The following is a 27,635-nucleotide window of genomic DNA, read 5'->3' on the forward strand; positions in this document are numbered from 1 at the left end:
TGACACCTTAGAAAGAGAGAGTAGAAATAAAGGGGCACTACTATAGAAAAACTTAAGAGAAATGATACTTATTGCTTGAATAGATATAGATGAAATTTTTTTCTTTAGTTTTTTAATTCAAAATTTAATTATGCTTCCAATACCCAGTTAATTCCATGTCTACACTTAAATCTAAGGTGTTTGTGAATTAGCAAATAGTATAATCTCTACACAGTCAATGGAAAGTGAAATTATAGAAAAAATATAATTAGTGATTGTCAGCTGTCCAACTGTGAGGCTACACAATAAAACCATCAACACATCACCTACCTTTTCAAGTAATTAGCCAATAACTAAAAAGCCTTTTCCACCCAGCACCTGTTCTTGCATGGCTACTGAACTTTTAAGTAGTTCAACCAGGAATGCCGAAAGAGTAGCACTGCATGTAAAGTACAGATATCATTATGTAATCATCACGTTTATTCTAAACACAGTGTTCCAATTTCAGTATTTTATTATGCCAAGAGATAACCATATTCAAATCTAATCTCTATTTTATTGACAATGACTATTATGCCTTATATTATGAAAGAATATATTTCCTGATAAGCATGAGAAAACTATTGTCCTTTACAAATTAAATATAATAAACTGAATCATAACTGTGTAGTTTTTTTACATTCCAAAGTAAAACATCAAAGTTTATCTCTACATATATTTATAGGTCTGGCTTCAAGTAAACCTAAGAAACATACACACATCATTTTCCATAATAAAGACTGTATCATACTATTATTTTGAATAACAAGCTATTGTAGAGAATTTTAAATATAGATGCAATATTGCTTTGTAAGAACAAGCCCTATTTTTAAATAAACTTTTCATTTAGAACTATTCTTCAAAAACACTTTGTTAAAAAAAATCCAGAGGAATATGTAACATGTCACTTATGTCCAGGTATGCCCTAAGAAAAGCTCATGAGAGCAAAGAAATGATTTATGTAATATTGAAATGAAAAGTGACAATTACACAGTATATAAACAAATACATAAAGGCAGACAGAGGCGTCAAAGATTTAGCACTTGGTATGTCTTTGGAATGAATGAAGAAACAAAATAGAAAATGACTGCATTGAATTAAGCTTTGATAATATATTACTTCATAGTTACATATAATGATTTTAACCAGCAACACTGATATATGAATATAGTATTCTGAATAATGGAAATACATATTCCTTCACTGTATATGCTTAATGTAGCTCATAATAAATTGTTATATACCAGATTTTATCAACAATTAAAAGAATATCAATTTACAATGTTTTATAATATACCCTAAATTACCTATTTATATTCATAAGAAAGGGTAAAACCACAAATTTCTAAACATATTTTAAATGCAGAAGTACTCATTCTTACAAGTAATTCAGACAATTTGGTAATAAGGAAAACTTGAAAATTATTAAAGCCCGAAAGGAATCTGAAGTTATTCTAATTTTTGAATTATTCTAGCTCTTCCAGTTTCAATAGGGATAATGTATTTTTCTCATAATGTGGCTACTTTTGTTCAAATCAGAAATGTTCTCATAACAAGAACCAACAGCAAAATTATCATTGTCATTATTATAAAAATTGATAGTTTAATGAATTACATATCAGCTAGACAAAATATAGTATCCAGAAATAAAGCACTTCATTATAGGAAATTAAAATTCAATTATATTAACTGACCCTATATCCTTAAACCACAAAAAATGTAAACTATCACATATCAATGATTTTTTTTACTTTGTCCTTAAGCCAAAGATAGACACTTACAAGAAAACTACAACTACCAATGAGTCTCTTGGGATTTTAAAAAACGTTTCTGTAAAGAAGCACAGCTATTAAGCAATCTAGTCCATTTTAAATGAATTGAATAGTCAAGGCCACTTCACAAATAATTGCTAAGTACTATATTACACATAACACATCTGCCTAGATGTGTAAAAAGAATAAAGAAAACCATGCATAGAGATTACACAATTTCCTAATCTGTTCATAGAATTCTTACATACACCAAAGTTAGTGATTGAGGGAAAATGGATTCCTAAACATGAGCACTGCCAAAAAGACAGACTAGAAATGCCTCACAGTGGTCCTTATGATCCATGAAAAAAGGCAAAAAAGTATTTTACAGTAAATCACCCTACTATATAGAACCATATACAATTGCAAGGATGACACAGATTTTCTCATTCTTTTATGTCAGAATAACTACTCATTCTCAAATATCTAATGAGTTAACTCAGACCTCTAAACACAGTGGAGCTCTATTATAAAAACTGAAATATTAATATTATTATTCCAAAATCTTAACAAGACTCTGCTATCCATGAAGTATTAATTTCACTTCAACATTAACTAGGACACCAATTGAAATGTCAAATGCATTCACTAACAAAGGTAGTTTCAATTTATACCTAAAACCCAATGCAATAGCAATACCACATCTTTGCAAAAAAAAAAAAAATCTTTACAATAAGGTATAATTGACATGGTGGACGTAATAGTAAATAGATGGCCATCTTTGAAGAGGTACATTTTCAAACATAATTCAACAAACTTACCAGTAACTAAAATGCATCGGATTGTTGCAAGGCTCACAATAAACTTGCAAAATTCTGTGTACTGCCATACAAAATTTCTCTCCATTCTTGCCTATTTCCAACTTCCCTAGATACAAAGGCAAATATAAAAGATACTTCAGCCCATTCCTATATCTCCTACATACAACTTCCTCTCTAGAACGCATCAGTTCATCTGCAGAGGATCTAAATATATACTCTAGGATAAACCAAAAAGCAAGTATCGTTGTCAGCCAAAACTAATACAACATAGAACACTCTCTTGAAAACTATATCAATACCTAGGAAAAGATTTTCAGAGGAGTATTTTATTTTATAGACCAAAAGTATGCTGATTATTATGTCATGATATATAATTGCTCAACTTTTCAACAGACAGTACTATAACACATGTTCTATAAGTAGCAATTCTACTTCAGGAATGGATGAGAGTTTGTAATCCTGTATCTTTTTAAGGAAAATGATGCTAATAATCTAGTGGGTGTTTTTTCTTAAAAATAATTACCATCTTGTAATTCTTAATAAGCTTAATTTAAGTTAGAAAATAATGTTTATTTCAAGTATCAGATCGTAAAGGGTTAGACCATGGGAAAAAAATGAAAGAAATAGCATAATAATACCTCTTATAAATTAGCATATTTATTATTTCTCCAGAGCTTTTTGGCCTTTATTGATAAAGAATGCCACAACAGTCTTGGCCCACAAATACCTGAGAATATTTATTAACTATGTATAAAAACATAACTAACCTGTTTATAATATACATATATTTATATGCCATTAAAATTTAAATATAGATTTTGACTTATTTTACTATAACTTTATCCATTTCAATTTGTATTTAATTTTTTAAAATAACTAATGTAGATAACTCATGTAATGTGATCCATGAAGTTTTATTATTTTTGAGGTACTTTTATTATTTAGAATTCAATATATCATAAAGATACACCTAATTCATAACTAAAATGATTAAGAGTGAATATATAAACCTAAGTTCTGTTCAAAGGTAGCTCTCTGAAGACATAAACTGGCTATTCAATTTGGTTTTTACTGAAAAAGCAAAGTACCACAGCTAGATTGGCTTTTTAAATAAAGATCTTTTTATTAAGAAGACTGGAAATAACTTACGTAAAAAGTAAAGATTCCCCCCCTAAAATCCAATACCTCCTCCACTTTTAAAAGAATGTTGCAAAGTAATCAAGTAGATTAAGTTTCAAATCGGATTTACGGTTATCAGTAAGGGGGAAAAAATCTTTTGACATTTTCAAAAGGTTTCATCTCTTAAGCCTAATTTAGGACTGAATTACAGTGAAATATTTTAAAAGATGATTAAAATTACGTAAAATATTTAATATCATAGTTTCTATAGTATTTCTCTCACTACAAAACTCTTCCTAAATAAGAGTGATCATAGCAGAAATTGACTTCACTGTACATTAATCAATTCAATTCCACACCCAAAACAATTTTGCATCCAAGATAATTTTCAGTGACACAAAAAAACTCACAGTAAGTTCTAAGAGTTAATTTCCTTCACAGTTCAACATTAGAAAGGGCTAAACCATATGCTACAATAGACCTCATGTGATATTTCCAACATGTGGGTTATCTTAGAGTTGGTCTATGATGATTTTCTCTTCCCTTGAGAATAAGTCACATTTTCCTGACCATTTTTAGAATAAGTACTTTTGGATTATATGCTAAATAGTGTGACTATTACTCTGTACAATACTGTAGAGAAACTTTCTGGCCAGAAAGTTTCCTATAAAAGCAAAAAATGGGGATATCAGTCCATGCAGACTGACTGTTCCATATTTTGACTACCCTCGCCTGCTTTTATTCAATCTTCACAATCCTCAGATAGATGTTATCTATATTATGTGCAGAGTTTACAAATGGTTATTTTTGAGAAGATCAGTTTGTTAGGAGCTCACCCCTCTATACAAGTATCAGAAATCCTCTGAAGTGATCTTTAATTTTGGAGGTTGTGTTATACTTTTTCTCTTATCAGTTAGAACTTCTTTATGATATAGCAAATTATAAAAACTATTATACTATCATATTCATAAATGAAGGAGAGAACTCAAAGCTAAATTTTCAAATATCTGGCCATGAAGACTAACTGCTTGCCACACGGGATTAACAGAACAATGAGAAAATGTCTAGTAATAATTATAAAATATAAAAACTTTGTTAAAATCTGATTTGCAAGCTTATGTCAAAGGGCCACCTCATACACAATCTTGAAGACATTAAATAACCCCAAATAGCCACTGTAAACTTACCTGGCAGTAAATTTTACTATACTAGACAAATCTACAGTGAGATTTTCTGTTATTTTAAATATTTTCTGTATTTCTGTATTTTCCAAAATGAACGGTTTATTTAGTTAATAAGTGATACCCTAACTTATTTACTGTTTCCAGAAAATAACCAAGTACAGAATATATACTGATAAGCTGCAATGCTCAAAACCAAATATCAACAGAAAAAAATTTACCTAGCACTACAGTGACCAACAGGTCAAAATCATTTGTGACAGGCTCCATTGAATATATAGTTTGATGGCATTATTTGAAGGTAGAATTAACTTATTTTATTAATTTTGAAGCCCATATGTTGACATGCTATCTACACTAAGCTCAGAATCATAAATATTGTCTGACCATTACAATGAAAGTTCCATATAACTGAAGGCAATAAATATAAATACTGTTATTATACAACACTAAGTAATTTAAACTCCATTTTGTGATTTATCCAAATGTCCATTAGTTAATTATATTCTCTACACCTTAAAAGTTCCGCTGTAGCCCTCTACCCCGCTTCACTCACAGAGAGTGACTTTAGCAAGATAATTTTGACTATGTGTGAACTACTCAGCTTTTCTTCTGTCAAAACACAATCTGATCATTTGCATTCCTCCTTCTCTATGTTCTCTGAATTTCTAAAAAAAAAAAAAAAGGTTTTTAATATAAAAAATTTTTGCTGATGCCTGTCATGGTGCAATTGTACTTATACTATTTACAAATTGAGGAAATGCATGTACCTTTGGCTTTATCAACCCCCACTAACAACAAGGGGTGCAGTGAGCTGAGAACTTTCAAAACTTAAAAAAATACTCTCTGATGTAATGCCCAAATTTACAGGTATCTCTCTTAAAAGTTCTGACTTTAGGTACTCTACACTGTGTGTTAGGATATTAAGGATACACTACGTCACATGAGCTGTGCACGTATGATGACCGGGGTTACTGCTCATTATCACTGTTGTTAAAAAGAATGACGAGAAAGACGTGTGAAAAGAATACTACAAACTACAGAGATTGCAAAGCTGTTCAGGACAAAGTTTGCTTCTCTGTGAATAGAAGAATTACAAAATTGCTTATATTCAGCCCTTTTCCTTGATGTTGCCAGGAAGCTCCCATCAATTCTGAGATTTCACATTAGCAATCATATTGGATTTGTATCTTCTTGATACTCTACCTTTTTATATTTCATTTGTTTGCTTGTCACTCTATTTAATATCATTCTATTAGAGCTTAAAAAGATACTGCAAGCATTTTATGAAACAACTCAAAGAAGTAGAAAAGAAAAGCAGGCAGCATATTAATAAAAAATGTGAATTACAAAAATATTCCTATGCAAGATCAGCAATGGCAGAACCAGGATGCAAACTCGACAAAAAGACCCATGAAAGAAAAAGTAGCTGGACAAGCACAAATTCATTTCTAGAGCTAGTAGGACAAAAACAAAAATGATATGGAAAATATATGATAGCAAGTATTGTTACCTTGACATAAAAATAATAGCATTATTATCCTTCAATATTATCATGGTTATTAAAGTCACTGAGAAAAAAAGATCTTTTAATATGGGTAAATTCAAACTTTCCTCTCTCGCTCTCTCTATATATATATCCGTGTGTGTGTGTGTGTGTGTGTGTGTATATATATATATATATATGACAAAAATAAAAACAGAAATACCAATGCAAAAATACAGAGGCCAAAGAGGGAATTTTTTTATGTTTTTCCTTTCCATTACACAATCTTCACATTAATTAAATTGAGTTCAATAAAAAAACCACACTTCCGTACAAGACAAGTACTCCTTCAGAATTATAAACACTTTGACTATAATGTGTAATTCTCTTTCAGCTCTAAGTAGTTTGAGACTTCACAATTCCCAGTGTGATTTAAACAGAACCCTAATATGTTCCCCTAGCCAGGTGTACCGCACATTTAAAACTAACTCATATATGTGCATGCTATATCTTACCTAGTCTTTGTTCTTAAAGTTTAAAAAACAGAAAGAATGATAAATTACATTAATTAGTTTTGCTAAATTAGTTTACTCACTACTGTACCTACTTCCTCACTGCAATTAAAGCAAAAATATAAACTAAAATTAAATAATTTCAGGCCCATGAAATATATTATCTTAGATTCCTTCTAAATCTTTAACTCTTCTTTCCAAGTTACCAGTAATATTAACAAGTTCTTTATTATGTTCATTATGTAATATATATTTCAAATTTTTGTATTTTAAATACTACATTAAGCAAAACAGTTTTATAAGATTATTTCAGAATTGTTAAAAGGCATGCTATCAATATTAGAAAATATTCTGAAGAATAAAAAAGTTTATAAAAAAAGTTGAGAAAAAAGCACCTTTGAACCGAAAAGAAACATATAATAAAAACTGACTACATTCCAAAAAATAGAAATGACTCTTAAACTGTATTAAAGAAAGATTTTCACTAAAAGTTATATTACATCACATTTTACATCTAAAACGCTCTCTAGAATTTATAAAATTACAGTTATTACTACCTTATATCTAGGTCCTAACTGATGAATTGCAAATATCTGTGCTGGGTTGAGTGCTTCACTGAATGGCAACAGGTTTAGCACAGAATACGCTATTTGCATCAGCAGTTTCTGATGAACCACGAAAGCACTTGTCATAGCTCTATTTTTAAAAGTCATTAAAAATGCATTATTTTTAATGATGAAAAGGTTTAAATCCTTAAATCGGCCTTTAGGAATATTTTAAAATATAACAATAATAATAGAAGAAAGCATCAATTAAGACTTTATTATTTAAATAATAAATGCCAGTCAAGTTTTTTGGGAAAAATGACCAATTACATGTTTTACACTTACATTTAAGCAAACAAAACAATAGCCACCTACTCAGTCTTCCGACTTACTTTTCAAATATTATAGTTAAAGGCAAAAGAGCTTATATTTATTTATTTACAAACGTTAAAATAATTTAAAACTGTCATGATGTATAATGATCCATATATAGAGAGATTGATCTGAATCAAGGGAATGACTATTCCAAAATGTAATCATGAAAACATAGGGTCTAATTTTTTAAATTCAACTTTATTTTTGAAATTATGAATCTATTCCTCTATTCCTCCATATTTAGTAAAACACACAAAGAAAATAAATCCCCGCTCGTGTGTGAGTAGGAACTACACAGAACGAAACACACAATAAGACTATAATCTGCTGCTTAAAGCAGATGGTACAGTGCTCTCCACATTGAGGAATTCAGCACTGAAGAAGCCAAAAGCTTAAGATCTTTCCAGCCTCTACATCTTACACCCCACCCACCCAAACCAGGGAAAGCAGTCATGGCTCAGTTCCCTTCCCCTATCCTCAAAGGCTATTTCACACCTTAGAATGAATAAGCAAGAATCATATATGTAAGAAGTACTTTTGGTCCTTCAATAAAGTAACAAAAAGAATTGTGAATGCATACAAAGGCAAAAAGAACTGTCGTCATTAAATACCCAATCTTTAATTAGAAGTATAGGAACTTAAACTTTAACTGCATAAAGTATGTGTCATTATCTAGAATTCTCCACTTCTTAGGGCACTATTACAAATAACCAAAAAACGAAGTCTTTTCTTTCCAAGATACTGTCTTCTCATTGAATGAGTCAAGACGACCACTGGGATTTCTTCCACTCTATAATAAAAAGACTCTGCAGAGATCTCCTCTGGAGAGAAGATAAAAAGCAGAATTTCATCTGTCTATTCTAATTCTGAAAACAACATTCTATTAAATATTAATTGGTTGTGGCACAACCATGAGTTTCTACGGCAGGGAAAAGCAACTTTTTCTATAAAGGGACAGACAGAAAATATTTTAAACTTTGCTTGCCACACCTGGTTTCTGTCCCATTCTTCTTTGATTTTGTTTGTGTCTCAAGAAACAAACAAACAAAAAACCTTTAAAAATTAAAAGCCAAGATTCTTAGGCCCCAGCTTACACAAAACCAGAAACAGGGGGAGGGTCAGATTTGGCTCATAGGGTGTAGTCTGCCAAGCCCCGATCTAGGGGACAAACTGTGGACCATACACACAGTGCTAGTTAAACGAATACAAGACACGATAAGCAAATCCCTGCCCTTTGGGAAATTAAAGCCTAGAGAGAGATGCAAACAAAACTGAGAAATGAATTGTGTTTAAGAGGTAAGTTCTTATAAAACCAGGTATGCTTGAAGGGTTGTATATTATTGAGCTTGGAAGTACTTTCAGCATTAAAACAAACCTTTTACTTTGACTCTGACAGGCCAGAATGTAGACAATGGAAAGCCCCAAGTAGAGAAACCGTAAGGACCCTTGAGGTTTTAATTCAAGTTGTTCTCTACCTAGAATCCAACTGTGTCACTTCTTCCACTGCTAACATACTGGTAGAAACTCATATAATCTCTTTATTTTATTGCAATAAGCCATTTAAGTGATCTTCCTGCTTCTGTAATTTCCCTTCAAAATATTCTCAATACTGCAGGCAGACTGATGTTTTTAAAATATAAGCACACATCACTTGTCTGCTGAAAACCTTCCAAGGATTTTTAAGCTGAGTAAGATGCGAAAGCCCAGGCCTTACGTTTGCTTATGAAGGCCAAAATGATTTCTGCCTAACCTCATCTCTTATTATTCTGCCTCTACCTCCCTCTGCTCCAGACAAACTGCCTTTTCCTTGAACTTTCCTATTCCGCCTCAAAGCCTTTGCACTCACTGTTCCCACTGAATAGAAGAAGTTCCCCACATACCTCGCTTGCTCAACTCTTCCTACTAAAATCATCTCTGGACCATCCGGCTCCTCCCTTCCCTACAACTACACTTTCTGTATCCCCAATTTATTTTCTCCATAGCATTTATCACGATGTAATTAATAATAGTGACTATATGTTATCCTTCTGTTTAGGGTCTTCTTTCTGTATCTAAATAAGGGGTAAACCACATTTTTTAGTGCTTGATGCTGGAATAAATAGAATACAGGATTCACGGTTTTTTTAATCTAAAAAACTTAAAACTTTGGCCAAATGTTCCTGTTTTTGTATCACTAATCATGTCTTTTAACAATTTTCTTATACTAAATTTAACAATGAAAGATTCGTTTAATAAAAAAAAACTTTCAAAGTTTTAAGTTTCTACCAAACTATTTTATTATTCAATTCATATTGTAATGATAGCTCATACTCTCAAATTAAACCACAGACAGAAAAATAGACTTACATCATTTGTGTTAACATGCCAAGCCATATCACCATAAGATACCAGTTGTCCATTAACGTAACACTGAATTTCATTGTTCCTCCATCGATTGTAAATGTGGACAATGCTGATCATGTACCACTTACATAAAAAATTATATCAATATGTAATGTTTGGTTATTACGGTCTAAAATGCAATTATAACATTCATAAAACCCTAGAAGAATATGCTGACAGAACTATTAATGATCATCTAATACCACTTCCTCAAGCTCCCCCTCCCATCCCTCATTTCACAGATGGTAGAAGCGGCACATAAAGAATATTCATGGAGAAGACAAGAACTACAGCCCCTTGACCTCCAGAGTGATATTCTTTCCACTATACCAAGATTCAAAATTGTGGAAATACAATTTATTTATGTTCATTCATTTAAAATTTACATTGTGCCAGGCACTGCAGATACCCAAGGCTGACTAGTTCTCCTAGAAATTATGAGCTATAAAAGAAATACATATGACACAATTAAACAAGTGTAGAATTATAAATCATGGTGATTACAGGGAGGAGAAAGAAAACAAAAACAGGAGAAGAAACAAGAATACAAACATGAAATAGAAGCAGTAGCAAAAGAAAATGAAGAGGAACAAGAAAATGAGAAGAAAACACACAGCGGAAGAAAGGAAAAAGAACAGGTATGGGAATTAGAAGGCCTATAATACCTCTTATCCCCTTCTCGATTCATAAAATTTGAGTAACTCAAAGACTATCACAACAAAAAACAAGCAAAAGGATACACAAATAGTCATCCCCTAAATTTTGTTAAGAATGAGACAATGCTGCCACTCACGCCTAGCTCAGGCACCAGCAGGAGGGCACCCTCCAGAGATTGCAGGAGAAAGGGGGAGAACTCTTCTTTGCCCTAGGTATATCACCACCACTGCCACCGAAGCCTGTGTTACAGCACCCACAGGTTCCTCCCCACCCCAGAGTGGGATGGGCCCTGCAGTGCTCCTATTCCCCCTTCCCGGCCCCCAGACTTCCTACTGCTACCACCACTAGCGCCAATGCCAATACAACCACTGTCGCCCTCAATGTACCAGCCCACCCTACCAGCTCCTACCACCTGGCCCCCGTGGGTGCCCTCCTCCCGCTCCGGTCGATCTGTGGTCTCCATCGCCACCACCAACCGCATGAGGCAAGCTGCAGAACCACGTCATCTGCAGGCTCGACCCTACCACAGGCGACTCCTCGCCTTCTCCTCCTTCAGCCTGGCTTGGAGTAGCTGGGCAGGCAAAGCCAGAAAAGCCCAAATCAGGATTCAGACAGTGGAACCGTTAGAGCCTCACCTTGTCACGCTGGTGACTGGGTGGCAGGCATCAGTTTCATTGAAGGCACTCACATCCACCTTCCAAAGTCCAGCCTCTCCTTCTGGCAAAAGCTGGCCAGGAACTGGGGTCTGGGGTGGGAGTGAATGCCTTCACTGAAACCGGCCCCTGGCCAACTCCAGCTGACCAGGAATTGCTGGGCCCACCAGGGCTGCCCTCCTCAGGGAGCCCGAGTAGGAGAAACTCAGAACCAGCCAGCCCTCCCCACCCAAGGGCTGGTTCCCATTCCTGACGCCTCCACCCACAGTGCCCTGTCCCCTGCTTCCCCCGTGGGTGCCTATTACTCCCTGCCTGGTAGTCCCAGGTGGTCTCCGCAACACAGAGCATGAGGGCGTGCCGGGAAACCACAGTGGGTGTGGGAGCCCTGCCGTGCAATCTAGCACGAGCAGGAGAAGATCGCCTTCTAGAGTCTGGAGTCCGGGAATAGAAGAACGATCCCTTACCTGGAGACCACCAGAAGGAAAGAGGCGGCCACTACTGTCGCTGCCGCTGCCGCCACCTCAGCTCGCCAACACCGCTGGCAGTGTAGCCCCCACAGCACCCCTAATCTGACCCCTGCCACTAGCAGTGTAGCCCCCGGATAGCACATCCAACACACCCTAGTTTCAGGCAATGTAACCCCAATACCTCCCCCAAAGCACTCCCCCCACACTGCAGGGAGTGTACCACCCAACAGTGCCCCAAATCTGACCCAGCCACGGGAGTTGCTGCACTAGATACCATCCCAAACCCACCTCCTCCCACCCCGCCACGGACAGTTCAGCTCTTGATGGCGCACCACCCCGAGTCAGCACCCAACAACGCCCCAGGCAGTGCAGCATCCAACAACGTCCCTAAACCACCCCCGACTGCCAGCATTGTAGCCCTGGATAACTCCACCCAACCCACCCCCTGCCGCTGGCAGTGCAGCAGAAGATAGCGCCCCTAATCCTTCCCCAGCCACCGGCAGTATACGCTAGTGTACACAATCTGCTTTCCCCGACCACCCCTGCCACCGCAGGCAGTATAGCCCCAGATAGCCAGCCAACCTGCCCCACCACCAGCAATGCCACCCCGGAGAGTGCCCCCAACCAGACCACTGCCACAGGCAGGGTAGCCTCTAGCAGTGAGCCCCAGTAGGACACCCAACCCTTGCCCCCAGAGGCGTGCAGGGCAGCCCCGGGAAACTCACCTACCCCATCACATTTCTACCACTGTGACCGAGCTGCAGTCTCCGACGTCACCACCAACCACAGCGAGGCGAACCAACCAGAGCCAGGCCAGCCACGGTGGCACAGGTTCCAGCCTCCAGCATGTGGCAGTGCCTCTTCCTTCTCCTAGTCCTCCAGCCCAGCAGGAGAAGCTCCCGCTGCCGGGCGCTCTCCTACTGCTCTGTCGCCACCACCAACCACAGCGAAACAGTGTCCCACGCTCCAGGGCTCCAGACTCCATCCATCCTCCAGCTTCAAGCAGGAGAAAGGTTGCGGCCTCTTCCAGTTCTCTAAGCCGGTCACGGGGTAGCTCTTCCTCTAGACACAGAAGAGCTTGAAATGACCTGATACGACCTCAGCATGCTTTATATACCGAGGTTATGCAAATGCGTTTCCTGGACTACATGTTCTGATTGGATGAGAGAAAAAACCTCTAGGCCTACTCTGATTGGACTTTGTTTTCATGCTGTGATTGGTTGTGTTAAGACTTACTCTCAACCAATCAGAACATGATAATAAAGTCCAATCAGAGTAAGCCTGGAGGTTTTTTCTCATCCAATCAAAACATGCAGTCCAGGAACCTCCGTGGGCATAACCGCAGTATATAAATGATGCTGAAGACAGGTCAGGTTTATTCAGGTTCCTGTATTTTCCTGTCGAGTTGCTAGCTGCCCGTCGTAGAGGACTAAAAAAAATTAATGAAAATTGCTAAATCAATGACGCTTTCAGAAGTTCCCTGTTTTTGACATCAGAGTCATATTATAATGCTCTATTTTCTGTTTCCTCACCTAAATAGAATTTTGCTTGAGGTAATTTTTTATCTGAACTTCTGTTTGTAGAAACCAGGGACATTTATTGAATTGTTTCTGGCTGGCTATTTGATCTTAACAAAGCATTTAAATGATACTGATGCCCTGGCTTGAGCAACGGAGCATCCCAGACTTTCAGTTAGTTGCACATAGCACACATACAACTCATTTGAGTTACAGCTAAATGCAATTACAGGCCTCAGAGCTAATATATAGATCACTTCTTATTTAAGGCAATTCACCTTTGAATTGGTTAACCTTTAATTGTTGATAAAATAATAAGATGGGAAACAAAGTTGCTACCCAATATGTTAGTTTCCCCAAATAAACACTTATTTAAAGGTTCATTTGTTAATCAAGTATCTGGAAGTTGAAATACATTTTTATGAAAGGAAATAAATTTTAGGTGATGATTAGGTTTTTATCAAGAGCTGAAGTTTTTAATAACGAACAGGGAGAGATACTATGGCAAAACAGTAATTGAATAAAACATAAATTCAATAAAATGATATGAAAAATCAATGACATTTATCCTGAGTCAAATATAAAGAGAATTAAATTGAGGATGATAAAATGTTTCTAATCATTGTTCCACCAGTATTTGACCTTGAGCAAACTGCCTGGGGGCCATATTTGGTAGACAGATGAGGATGTACACTTTCTTTTAAATACTTGAGAATTAGCTTAAGTGCTATCATTTGATAACTTGCTCGGTATTTCATAAATGCCAGGAAATTAACTCAAATCCTTTGATGAGCTGCATTTTCTGTATTCAATTTGTGTAAGTTCAACAAATATTTATTGAGGGTCTTCCATATGCTGGGTATGTGTCTTCGCAAAATAAAGTACATTATGAAAGATGTGATGCTCAATAGTATATCATCAGTGAATTGCAAATTAAAATCTAAATGAGATATCACTATATATCCACTGGATTGTCTAATATTTTAAAGTTGTCAGTATTAAATATTGGGAAAAATGTGGAGCAGCTGGAACACTCATACATTGCCAGTGGGAGATTAAAATGGTGCAGCACTTTGTAAAGCTAAACATATATTTACCATACTACCCAATAATACCACTAAGTATTTACCAAGAGAAAACAATTGTCTACACAAAGACTTGTACATGAATGTTCACCGTAGCCTTATTCATCATAGCTAAAAACTGGAAACAACTCAAAAACAGAAAAGTAAATTGATGAGCAAATTGTGGTATATCAATTTAATGGGATACCATCCAACAATGAAATAAATAATGAACGATAACACTGATTGACATCAATAATCTCAAAATCATTATCCTATGTTAATGAAGCCAGACACAAATAAGTATTTTGTATATTATTTTATTTGCATAAAAATTTATAACAGGAAAATCTAATCTATAATGGCAAAAAGTAGATTCATGGTTGTCTGAGCTAAGGGGTAGAGGAAGATTGATGGACTGCAAAATGCAAAAGGGAACTCCTTGAGGGTGATGGAAATAGTCTATATCCTGATTAGCAAGGTGGTTACATGCATGTATACCTTTCTCAAAACTCATAGAACATACACTTAAAATGTGCAGTGCTGGCTGGGTGCAGTGATATGGCTCATACCAATAATGAACAGGGAGAGATACTATGGCAAAACAGTAATTGAATAAAACATAAATTCAATAAAATGATATGAAAAATCAATGTTTGACATTTATCCTGAGTCAAATATAAAGAGAATTAAATTGAGGATGATAAAATGTTTCTAATTATTGTTCCACCAGTATGTGACCTTGAGCAAACTGCCTGGGGGCCATATTTGGTAGACAGATGAGGATGTACACAGTGGTATGGCTCATACCACTGCACCCAGCCAGCACTGCACAATAAATGTCAAACATTGATTTTTCATATCATTTTATTGAATTTATGTTTTATTCAATTACTGTTTTGCCATAGTATCTCTCCCTGTTCGTTATTAAAAACTTCAGCTCTTGATAAAAACCTAATCATCACCTAAAATTTATTTCCTTTCATAAAAATGTATTTCAACTTCCAGATACTTGATTAACAAATGAACCTTTAAATAAGTGTTTATTTGGGGAAACTAACATATTGGGTAGCAACTTTGTTTCCCATCTTATTATTTTATGAACAATTAAAGGTTAACCAATTCAAAGGTGAATTGCCTTAAATAAGAAGTGATCTATATATTAGCTCTGAGGCCTGTAATTGCATTTAGCTGTAACTCAAATGAGTTGTATGTGTGCTGTGTGCAACTAACTGAAAGTCTGGGATGCTCCGTTGCTCAAGCCAGGGCATCAGTATCATTTAAATGCTTTGTTACGATCAAATAGCCAGCCAGAAACAATTCAATAAATGTCCCTGGTTTCTACAAACAGAAGTTGAGATAAAAAATTGCCTGAAGCAAAATTCTGTTTAGGTGAGGAAACAGGAAATAGAGCATTATAATATGACTCTGATGTCAAAAACAGGGAACTTCTGAAAGCGTCATTGATTTAGCAATTTTCATTAATTCTTTTAACCAAAAAAACTGCTCTTTTGTAGTCCTTTTTAAAAGAGAAAAAAAGGGAAAAATGCCTTACTTAGCCCTTGGCACACATTTTATTATTCATTTCTAACATGGCATGTCACATTGACAACTCGTTTTAAGTTTGAATTTTTCTTACTAAGTAATCATTTTGTATATGCTATTTTTTCATTGAATTACAGTGTATGAGAAGCAGTCTCTCAAATCACCACATAGAATATGTGACAATCAGTTTAGTTTGTAGTCAATGTTCATTATTCCTCTATGTTTCTTTATTTTGGTAGTTTAGTCATAGTTCTTAACAACTGCCTTGAAATTTAGAGATAAAAATAATGTCTAATTTTAGTATCTTTAGTCACAAAAATAGCTGTGGAACAAACTATAGACTAGGAAGACAGAAGGATGAGTCTTCAGATATCCTATTTCATATTAGTTGAAGAAGATTTCTTAAAACATTCCTGTTTCTCCCTACATTTATTCAGGAATTGGTTGAGGGAAAAGGAGAGTAGAGAGAAATTCAACAGATACTTAATTTCTGGTTGGTGCTTTGCCTATATATTACCGTGCTGTTGCATTACTGACACTTATCACAGTGTGGGTTGCTAGTTATTAAATGTAATGGAATAACCTGATTTATTGTTTATAACACGCATAATTTAGAAATGTTGAAGATAAAGCTCTTCAGTTTAAATTGATAAATTATCCAAGATTATATATTAATATGTGCTTGATTAAGTCGGTGAACTCAGATTTGGGCAATTCTGAGGTTCATGCTCTGTCCAATACCATAGTAAAAATTTACAAAATATTTCATGAAAGGAGACATGTGACAATTGGGAAAGCCACAAGAATTTATGAGTTAATACTTATGAAGACCTCTGAAAATCCATAAGTATAATAGATTTTTATTTAGTATGTGTTTTTCAGAAGAAATAATTTTCAGGTATTTGCTTAGTTTTTGAATAGTTAAAATTAGGCTCTTAAAATTTATTTGGAACCTGGACAACATAGTGAGATTTTGTCCTTACTTAAAAAAAAAAATTATCTGGGTGTGGTGGTGTGTATCTGTGATCTCAGCTGCCTGGGAGGCTGAGATGGGAGGAGAGTTTGAGCCCAGGAGGTCAATGCTGCAGTGAGCTGTGTTTGCACTACTGCTTACCACCTCTGATGACACAGACCTTGTCTCAATTTTTTTTTTTAAATTTGGCTTAAGTCAGTCACCTTTTATATTTAATTATAATGCAAAGTCAGTGATGTTTTGATATTTTAGATTACATATCATGGAAGATTAAAATCATCACATTATTTTGAATTTTTTTCTACTAGTTGGTGAAAAAGATATTTTTTTATGCATGCTCTAAATCTAAAATATGTATAATCAAGTCATAATCCTTAATTTACAGAAACTTGAGTATTTTATTTGGGGTATATACTATTATTTTAATATCTAGAATGGGAAACTCATTGTGGCAGAAACTCAAACAAGAGCTTCCTCTAAATTTGATCTTCCTCTTTCTCCGAACGTGTTACTATGCTTTCTAAGCATTATGAGGTTCCAGAGAAGAGATTTTCACTTTAGTTTGTATCAAATTCATGAGTGAATAAATTCTACAGTGTGCTTAAAACACTCTGAGAAGTAGGTTAGGGAAAAACTCTATAATCCTCTTATGGGTTTTTTTTAATGTGTTAATAAAATAATAATATGCCATCTACTTAAAATCCTTTTTGCAACAAGGTGCAGGGATAAATAAATAGTCCAAGTAACATGATATTTTCAATTTTAGGCAAAAGCTCTGACAAGACTTTGATCCTTCTTCAAGGCCTGGTAGGTCTGAAATAATCTTATCCGCACATGAAAAACATTCAAAGCATTTAAAGGACCTGGCTATAATTGCACAGTTCATGGTGGCAACTCATAGAATAAAGTTCAACTAATTCATTCCTTAGTCACATGTCATCCATTAGTTTAGCAATCTTGGATTCCTTAAGATTAAAGTATAATGAATAGTCTCTCTTCATTTGACTAACAAAGGGGACTAATGCCTTCCGCAAAACAGAACTTTTTCTTTCCCTTTCATGATACTGTATTTATGTGTTCTCATAACAAATCTTTCCTCTTTCAGTCGCTCAGAACAGATAAAGATAAATGAAGAATAATCTATCGATATTAGCATAATTCTGTGAAGAACTATAGCAATGTCTTGTTTACAAAAGCCAATTATACAAATGTTATGCATAATGCACTCAGGAATTCATTTAAACCAGGGGTTTTGAGTTACATGTTATAAGTACTAGACAACAGCTGTTTCCCTGGTGTATGATGGAGCCAACACCAGTCAGAGGTATATTATTACATCTGATTATCAGTCAGGATAAGGTAGGCAATTCTCTGGTAACAAACCATCCTCAAATCTCAGTGCTTATATAGGCACTATTTCTTGCTCCACTAGATGGTTCATACTTGCTCACACTACCCATCATGGGTCGTTAGGAGATCTCTGCTTATGGTCACTCAGGAATTCATCTGACAAAGGAGCCACCACCTTGAATATCATGGGTCACTGTGCTGGAAGCAAAAGAGAGAAATGTGGTGGGTTTACCATCAACATTTAAGTACTCTGGCCCAGAAGTGGATTGTCACTTCTACTCATCACTTACGGGTGACAAGTGCTAGAACTGGTCACCTAACCCCACCACAAGGGGACCAGCATGTACAATCTTACCATATGGATGTAAGGAGACAGAACAGGAAATATCTGTGAAACAGTGGTATTGTCAAAACCAATGTGTAAGATTAACTTCTGCTTAAACAAGTATATGTATTATTGCAGCAGTGCTGGTCAAAAATAACTGCTGGATGGAGTAGTAGGTTACAGAAATTATGTAGACTGGGTACAACTTGCTGCAAGTAAGAGATGAGCTGCATAGTGCTAAATAAAGATGGCATACTTTCTGGAACATATGAGAAATTTGTCCTTTTAAGTATAAAGAAATGAGGTCAAGACAATAATCATTTTCACTGAAGCAGTTAGTTACATGGAGCTGATGAGTTGTTATGGATGCTTTTCAGACACTCTGGGACAGAATTTTACGGTGGAAGTATGCACTGTAATGATTCAGGACTTGACTGGCGATATTTTGGGTATCTTAACCTCCTCCTTAAATAGGCTACCAAAAATTTGAAACCAAAAGGGCTGAGAATCACTGCTTTAAAAAGTGAGTTATGATTGGAGGGAATAGGGTCCATCCTCTAATAAACAGTAAAGAAATCAGAAGTCCTGGCTGGACGCAGCGGCTCACACCTATAATCCCAGCACTTTGTAAGGCCCAGGTGGATGGATGGCTTGAGCCCAGGAGTTCGAGACTAGATTCGGCAACCTGGCAAAACCCTGTCTCTACACAAAATACAAAAATTAACCAGGTTGGGTGGCGCACCTGTGGTCCCAGCTACTTGGAGGCCGAAATGAGAGGATCACTTGAGCTCCAGAGGTCAAGGCTGCAGTGAGCCAAGATGGCGCCAGTGCACTCCAGCATGGGCTGCAGAAAGAGACGCTGTCTCAAAATAATTAAATAAATAAATAAAATAAATAAATAAGTCCTGTTGTCAAGAAGTCAGTAGACAATTTTTCCTAACACAATGATCTTAAGGACTTTATTTTTCCCATTTTTATTTCATTTTATTTACACCAAATTTCTTACTGGGTTTTCAATGCAGCTTAATGCAATATGCAATGATTTTATGTTTTTATCCACTGAGATTTGTGGATGGTTTGTTACCAGAGTATTGCCTACCCTATCTCAAAAAAATAAATAAATAGCTATATAAGAGTTTATATAAGCAATTTACTTATTGCTTATATAAGAACACTTATAAAAGCATTGAGGCTGGAGTGCAGTGGCATGACCATGGCTCACTGCAGCCTCGACCTCTCAGGCTCAAGCGACCCTCCCACCTCAGCCTCCTGTGTAGCTGGGACTACAGCTTACCATGCCAAGCTAATTTTTAAATTTTCTGTAGCGACAGGTTTCACTATGTTATCAGGGCTGGTCTCAAATCCCTGGGGTCAAGTGATCCTCCTGTCTTGGCCTCCCAAAGTACTGGGATTACAGGCATGAACCACCGCACCTGGTTTGATCTTAAACACAACTTTTCTTGAAAAAAAGTTACCATGACAAGTGCTAATTTTTTTCTCCTACTATTTGTTTTGAAAAATTTTAAACTTACAGGTTAAAATAATAGTACAATAAATATCTATATATCTTTTTACTTAGAGTCACCATTTGTTTACATTTTTCCATATTTTCCTCTATTTTAGTCTGTCTACAAACATATACATAAACATACTAAATGTATATGTATACACGTATGTGTGTATATACATTCATATACTCACACATACACATCAATATTACTTTTCTTTTGTGAGGCTATTAGAGAATAAATTTAGACACAGCATTTTTGTCCTAAATACTTCAGTATGTATCTTATAAGTACATGGATATTCTTCCACATAAGCGTGACATAATTATCACACTCAAAATTTAACAACAATAAAATTAAATATTTAATGTACAGCTCATTTAAAAATTGTCCTTGTGGTCCAAGTAATAACCTTCATAGCCACCTGCCCTTCCCCCATCCTTAATCCAATCATGAATGAAGCCTTCTGTTTAGTTACAGCCGAGACTGCTGTGGGAACCTAGATCTGCTTCTTTCATAGGGAATAACCTCAGGCAGCCAGGACCTGCTCTGCCTGTGGGGCTCACAGATTGCATGAAGTGCAAGGATGAGCTGAAAGTGTGGCTCTGAAGCAGCAACTGATGGGACAACTCTGAGGTCATCTACTTACCCTCGAGGGACTGAGGCAGCTCTCTCTGTGAGATTGCTGATATGCAACTGGGCTTGGCCTCTTTATTCTTCTTGGACCGACTTGACTTCTCACTTTCCTGTTTCTCCTGGGAACACTCGTAAGGAATGGCTCAGTGAATTTCCTTCTCAAGGTCGGCTTTGGGGATATATATTTACATATATGTATACATGTAACAAAACAAAGACCATTCCTTTTACAGATTATTCTCAATTTGGATTTTTCTGATTGTTTCATCATGATTAGATTTAGACAAAATATTGTTGACAAGAATACTACATACTACATAAGTGATGTGTCTTCCTAATACAGGTTTTTGAAATTTTAAATTCTGATAACTGCTTTTCTTCCAAGAAATGCCATTATCTTTTGGCCAGCACTCAAATGAAATACAGACATTCTTTTAAAATCGAATGTATTCTATTTTATTATGTTTTGCATTTCCCCTCTTGAGTTTCTCCTAGTTTACTAACCTCTCTACAGAGTAATAAAACTATATTATATTTTTATTCATAAGAAAAAGAAAAAAAACCTCATGCAACTGAAATTGCCTTAAATTATTCATCTCTCACACTATTCTTACTTTGATGTTTAATATTATTATTTTATCTGCTTAATCCCATAACATATATTCTGACATAAATCTGCAAATTGTTGAAAACAATTTACTTAACATTTCAACTACTTAAAATTTTATTTTATTTCAGACACCTAGAAAAATAGTTCTAAATTCTACAAAACCAAGAAAAAAAAAAAAGGGGGGGATTTTTCTTGGACTCTGTTCGAAGTTTCAAGCCTACCATCAGATCTGTCCCAGACATAACTTCTCAGAAAGCTCTAATGGGATTTTGCCCTGTATAGTTTCACTGAAACAAAAAAGTGACAGCTGCTTCCCCTTCCTTCCCTTCCTCTTCCCTCTCCCCCACCCTCCTCCTCCTTCTCCTCTTCCTTCTTCTTCTTCCTTCTTGCACATGTCTGATCTCTTTTTCCTGGCCTCTAATTTAGCAGCCAGTGATTGGGTGATGAATGACTAATCTGAGGGTCGGAGCTTCTTTCCTGAAGCTTCCTGAAAAAAATCCCCCAGTAATTATAGGTTGCAAAAAACCTCTTCTACTTATTTAGCCATTTGCTCTTTTAGGTTCTTTTCATTTATTTCAAATTAAATGATACTTTCTTTTCTCCCAAAATTCAAACTGGAGTTTCTTTGACTTCCTTCAGGTGCTGCTACATTAATTCAATGCATGTTGCATTTTTAATGAATAATTTTAGGTAGTGAATTTCAAGTTCTGTATCAATTTCATTAATTCTACTTAAGTTGGGTTCCCACCGTAATGAACTTTTAAACATGTGTATTATTGTTTGGCCAAAAGCACCAAATGGGTGTTCAGCTTACATTCTAATGACTTCCCTTCCTTCCTTCCTCGCTCCCTCTCTCCCTCTTTTCCTTCCTTCTTTCCTTCCTTCCTCCTTTCCAGCATCAGCTTTAGCAAGGAGCCCTAGCAGAAGACACCAGAAGGTTTCCAGCTGACTTGTCTCTTTTGTTCCTAAACCACTACTAACAGCAATATTAGTCATCACTTCCCCCACTGCCCACTGTGCTATTTAAATCTCCCTCTTTGGGTATATTTTTTCCTAAGTTTCCTTTTTCACTCCATAGTCAGGGATGTGGGGGAAACACTCCAGGCAACACCTCCCACACACGGCCACATAAATATTTATTAGCTTTTTATTTGTATCAATCTGTTCTGTACAACCTGTACAGCTTTTCATTGCTGACATCCTTTTTATTATTTCAAATAATAGTTTAGTATGAGAGTTAAAAGAAACATATCTTTGTTCTTGTTCTGAATCATAGAAAATTTAAACCGTCACAGGCCAGTGAGAATGTATGATTCCCTTTTGAAACATTTAAGAGGCATAATTTTGACAGTCTTTGTTTAACAAAGACTTTGCTTTGTTTTGACAGTCTTTGCTCAGTAACTCTTATATGACTGGAAATTTTCTAAAGCTACCTTAGATCAGTTGATAGGCTATGTTTTCTCTTTCAATCTGTATGAATTCAATAAATGTTTTAATGAGAGTTTTCTAAGCACCAGATGCTGTATCAGGTACTAGGGATGACTATGAAATGACTCAGCTCCCAAGAACTTTATAATAGGGCTTAAGCAGTGTCATAACTAATACAATCCTAATAAAAGCATGCTGTGTGTTCAGACCTAAAAGCTTGCTGTGTGTGTGCATTTAGGTAAACAGTTTCATCTCTCTGGACCCTAGCTCCTCTCTGTAAAATGAAGGAGTTGAATTCAATGATATATTCTATTATATAACACCATAAAAACACTTTACCATATGGTGTGCTGGTCCTGGACCTGTTTGCACTCAGATCCATCCTTCTGCTCTGCCTTGTTCTGGGGTGAAGAAGTTGATCCTCGGCAGGGTGACTTTTTCAGGCTCTAGAGAATTTCTGAAAGGACTGAGTCAACGGGCAGCAGGAATATATCAACCATGGAAAATTAGAGAGCAGGGTGAGGAGCGGTTTTTGGGGGAGGGAGCTATCAAGACACTCCCTCCTGTTTTCAGCCTAAGGTGGCCTCTCCAGTGGCTTTATCTTCTCTGTGACTCCAGCCCCCATTGTATCGAGGCCACCAGAGATCCAGTCTCCCAGAGTGGTCCTCTTGGTGCCAGTAATTCCATGTTTTCCTTTTGTCTCTCCAGCCCAAGAATGATAAAGACTTCCTGCTATCGTCAATCTCCCAGGATTATTTTAGAGCCCTCTGTTTAATTCTCAGCCTCTCCACTCTTCATGGACCCACCACTGCTTTCCATTCCTTCTGCTGTGAACATTTGAGATGATTTCTGCTTTCTTGGTTAATCTATGGCTAACCACAGTGTTCACCTCTACTTTATTTTATAATTGAGGAAGGAAAATATGAGCATAGATACATTAAAGGAGCAGACCCAAACTAGCTCCTTGTATCCAAACAAAATGAAAGAAGGTTGTATCCAAACCTTCTTTTGATGCTGGTATCTATTTTTTGGTGCTTAGATACCAGCATCAAAGGAAGGTTTGTTTTATGCTTATTCTCATGGCCCAATAATGAGATGCAGATGAACTGGATAGAAGGGAGTTTATTTATATAACTAGGTACAGAGAGAAGGCTGGGAAATATTGCCAGACCAACTCAAAATTATAAAGTTTTCCAGAGCTTATACACCTTCTAAGCTATATGTCTATGTGTAAGTATGTAAGTGTGCATTCATCTAAAGACATAAGTAATAAACTTTTTTTTTTTTTTTCTTGAGACGGAGTTTTGCTCTTGTTGCCCAGGCTGGAGTGCAATGGCGCGATCTCGGCTCACTGCAACCTCTGCCTCCTGGGTTCAAGTGATTCTCTTGCCTCAGCCTTCCAAGTAGCTGGGATTACAGGTGTGCACCACCATGCCAGGCTAATTTTGTATTTTTAGTAGAGATGGGGTTTCTCCATGTTGGTCAGGCTGGTCTCAAACTCCCGACCTCAGGTGATCCACCTGCCTCGGCCTTCCAAAGTGTTGGGATTATAGGCGTGAGCCACCCCATCCGGCCAAGTAATCAACTTCTAACCTATAACTAAAATCTGAGTACTGAAGACCTTCCTCTGGAGCCTTAGTAAATTTTCTTAATCTAAATGGGTCCAGGTGCCAGGGTGATTACCCTTATCTTGTCTCCTGCTAAATCATGGAGGTTCCTTTAGTCCCCAGTAAAGCTTGTTTGTGGAGGTCTAGGGAGTTCCTTTAGACCCCCAATAAAACTTGTTTAATCCTAAATGGGTCCTGTTAGGAATTCCTTCGTTATCTTGTCATACTTCAAGGCCCAGGGAAGACCTAGGCAAAACTCTTGGTGGGTTTTGTTACATTCCAGCCTTTGTATGAGGACATTGGCCCCATCAGTTTTTAATATTTATCTTAACCACTCAGTCAGTGCTGAAACAGTTGTCATGGAGGCCTGCCTATTCAGCTGTTAGTGAGACCTGGCCTGCCACACTTTCAGTCAACTATTGAAGGACACACAAGATTCTCTTTTATTATTATTATTATTATTATTATTATTATTATTATTATTAAAGCTGCCATGTTGAATCTCTTGAAAGTTAAGGCCCATGTAAATCGAGGTGGGGGAAACCTTTAGTGAACTACATCACTCTGTGTGCTTCCTGGTTCTTAGGACAGATGACTTTATTACAGCCTCTGAATCTATCAAATGTGTCCATTTTTCACCAGGAATGTTAATTAAAAATAAAATTATAGTGATAAATGTATTAGCAACCTAAAGTTTGGTAAGAGAAAGATATGTAAAAAACCTCTTTTTTAAAGACGAGGCTTAGGCATCCTGCTTCTTCTCCAACTCTTTTATCTCCATTTCCTTTAGGTTGGTAAGATACTTTCTTTATTTCTAGCAATTTCACCAGAGAGGTCAACAATCAAACTTACGGTGGTTTTACTTTAAAATGATAGGTAGGCAAACTTGTGGAGATACTCTTTTATTTAATTTATTCATTAAAAAAAGAGGTGGGATGAAAATCCACCCATTCCCACTACCCCTTACTTTGGGTATGGGTGCGAGAGAGGAGAAGTTCATGGTGATTGGGTGACAAGGAAAGTGATAGTACCATTGCTGATACAGGGAGAGTCCCAGAGAGAGAAACTAGCTGGAGGTTAGAGTATTACTTTCCTGTGGTAGGTGGCTTAAAACAGACATTTAGTGGATAAAACAACACACATTTATTTACTCACAGTTCCAGAGGCCAGAGTCTGAAATCAACATCACTGGCTTAAAATCAAGGTGACAGCAGGGCTGTCTCCCCTCTGGAGGTTCCGGGGGAGAATCTGTTCCTGACTTCCGGTGTCTGGTGGCTGCCAGCATTCCTTGCCTTGTGACCACATCGCTTCAATCTCTGCTTCTATGGTCACACTGATTTTTTCCTGTTCTTTGATGAAGTTTCCTTCTCAATCCCTCTTATAAAGAGACTTGAAATTGCATTTAGGGCCCACCTGGATAATCCCCAGGAAAATCTCCCTGTCTCAAGATTCTTAGTCACATCTGCATAGTCCCTTTTGCTATGTAAAGTAACATTCACAGGTTCCAGGGCTTAGAATGGGGACATCTTTGGAGGCCTTTATTCAGCCTACTACAGTCAGATAAAGCACACAGAAAAGCTGGTGTGGGTTTTATTTGTATGTTGTCTCTGAGTGTTTTCAAGGTTAAGATCTTTCAAGGACTAAAGAATATTGGTTAATTCCTAACATCCTGGGCTATACAATTAGTGTAGAAAGAATACGCCCTTTTGGGGTGGATGAGTCAAAATACTCACACTTTATTAAAACCATTTTAGTGAATTTTACTGTTTGTTCTGTGGATGTTACAGAAAAAGGCATATTCTCTGTATAGTGTAAAGCTTAGTCATGCCTATTAAAGATATTTTGTCATTCCGGAAATTCTGTTTTATCTCCTAGATGTATGTTACAGTTATGTTAAAGTTTTATGTAAAGTTTCCTTTCCTTCCTAACAGTTTTTATTTTATGTATTTCCTCAGTGTATGGATTGTTTGTGATGCTTATGTTTGCACTGTGCATTGTAACTTTTACAGGTGTATAATAATCATTTTATCCATTTCATATTTTTTGCCATGATACATGATGCTGTGTCTGATTCTAATATTTCTACCTGTCTATTCCTCTAACTTTTCTATGTTCCTTTTGACCAGGGAAACTTTTGAATCCCTTTATTTTCAACATTTCTTTGTCAATTTGTTTATACATGTGCTTCTTATAATTAGTAAATTTAGATTTTTACCTTTTGATATAATCTGATTTTATTTGCCTTTTATTGTTATCTTTTAAGCCATTTATATTCACTATGCCAAGTCAGGTATAGTCTTATTTTGCCATTTTATTTTATTCTTTGTGATTTATACTTATTGTTTTCTTCTTCCCTATACATTATATGTCATTGTAGCTCCTCTTTCTTCCTATTAGTTATTTTTTCTACAAATTTTATTCTATATTCCCATTTGTAGAATGCACATTTTTGTTCTACAGTTATATATATATTCACATATGCACATTATATGTATATAAAAATATACATATACACAGAGATTAGCATATATATGTAATTTTCAACCAATTATAAGAATGGAAGACTATTACTGGTTCTCCTATATAAGAGACTTATCACACTTTTACTTTCCTCTTCTCTACTCCTGCTCAACATGTATTAATTAATTAGTTTTTTAGGTCAAATTCCTGGTATTAAAAATATTATTTTTTATTTTGTTTATTTTCTTTCCCAAGAAATATATTTGATACAAGAATTATGTAACATATTGATGTTAAAAACTAGTAATTATTTATTAATGTGAATTTTAATGGATGCAGTACACATAATCAATTTTTAATATCATATTACCTCTTGAGATGTAACAGTTTTATTTATTCTTTTAGTCAGCTGTGGTATTTTCTCAAGTATCAAAGAATTATTTCCCCCATGAATGGTAAATGGATACTTGCATTTTCTGATTTCCTCTCACTTGACTAAAAGTTTGGTTGCCTGCAGAATTTTTTAATCTGAATTCGCTGATGGATACCTGGGTTGCTTCTACTTTTTAACTATTCTGAATAATGCTGCTGTGACAGTCATTTAAAAATATAAAAAAAATTAAGCATTTTTTTGGGGACTGAGAT

At 36.0% G+C, this 27,635-nt stretch overlaps 2 long non-coding RNA genes and 1 pseudogene across 3 annotated transcripts; 1 reads left to right on the forward strand and 2 right to left on the reverse strand.

Annotated features, from left to right (window-relative positions):
• Positions 1 to 91: 91 nt before the first annotated feature.
• On the reverse strand, positions 92 to 27,009 carry LOC105370714 (uncharacterized). 2 transcript variants are annotated; one of them, XR_007064500.1, is made up of 5 exons: positions 25,686 to 27,009; positions 23,263 to 23,389; positions 20,899 to 21,054; positions 2,591 to 2,696; positions 92 to 418 (listed from the first exon to the last, which is right to left on the reverse strand). It is a non-coding gene; the product is annotated as an uncharacterized LOC105370714 (long non-coding RNA). The 2 variants fall into 2 exon arrangements; XR_007064499.1 differs by lacking the exons at positions 92 to 418; positions 2,591 to 2,696 and adding an exon at positions 14,853 to 18,614.
• Positions 310 to 10,293, reverse strand: NBEAP4 (neurobeachin pseudogene 4; annotated as a pseudogene).
• Positions 13,288 to 20,847, forward strand: LOC124900633 (uncharacterized). Its single transcript, XR_007064501.1, has 3 exons — positions 13,288 to 13,335; positions 17,833 to 17,873; positions 20,770 to 20,847. It is a non-coding gene; the product is annotated as an uncharacterized LOC124900633 (long non-coding RNA).
• Positions 27,010 to 27,635: the final 626 nt, after the last annotated feature.

This window comes from Homo sapiens, chromosome 15, assembly GCF_000001405.40.
Source record: "Homo sapiens chromosome 15, GRCh38.p14 Primary Assembly".
Lineage (NCBI taxonomy): Eukaryota > Metazoa > Chordata > Mammalia > Primates > Hominidae > Homo > Homo sapiens.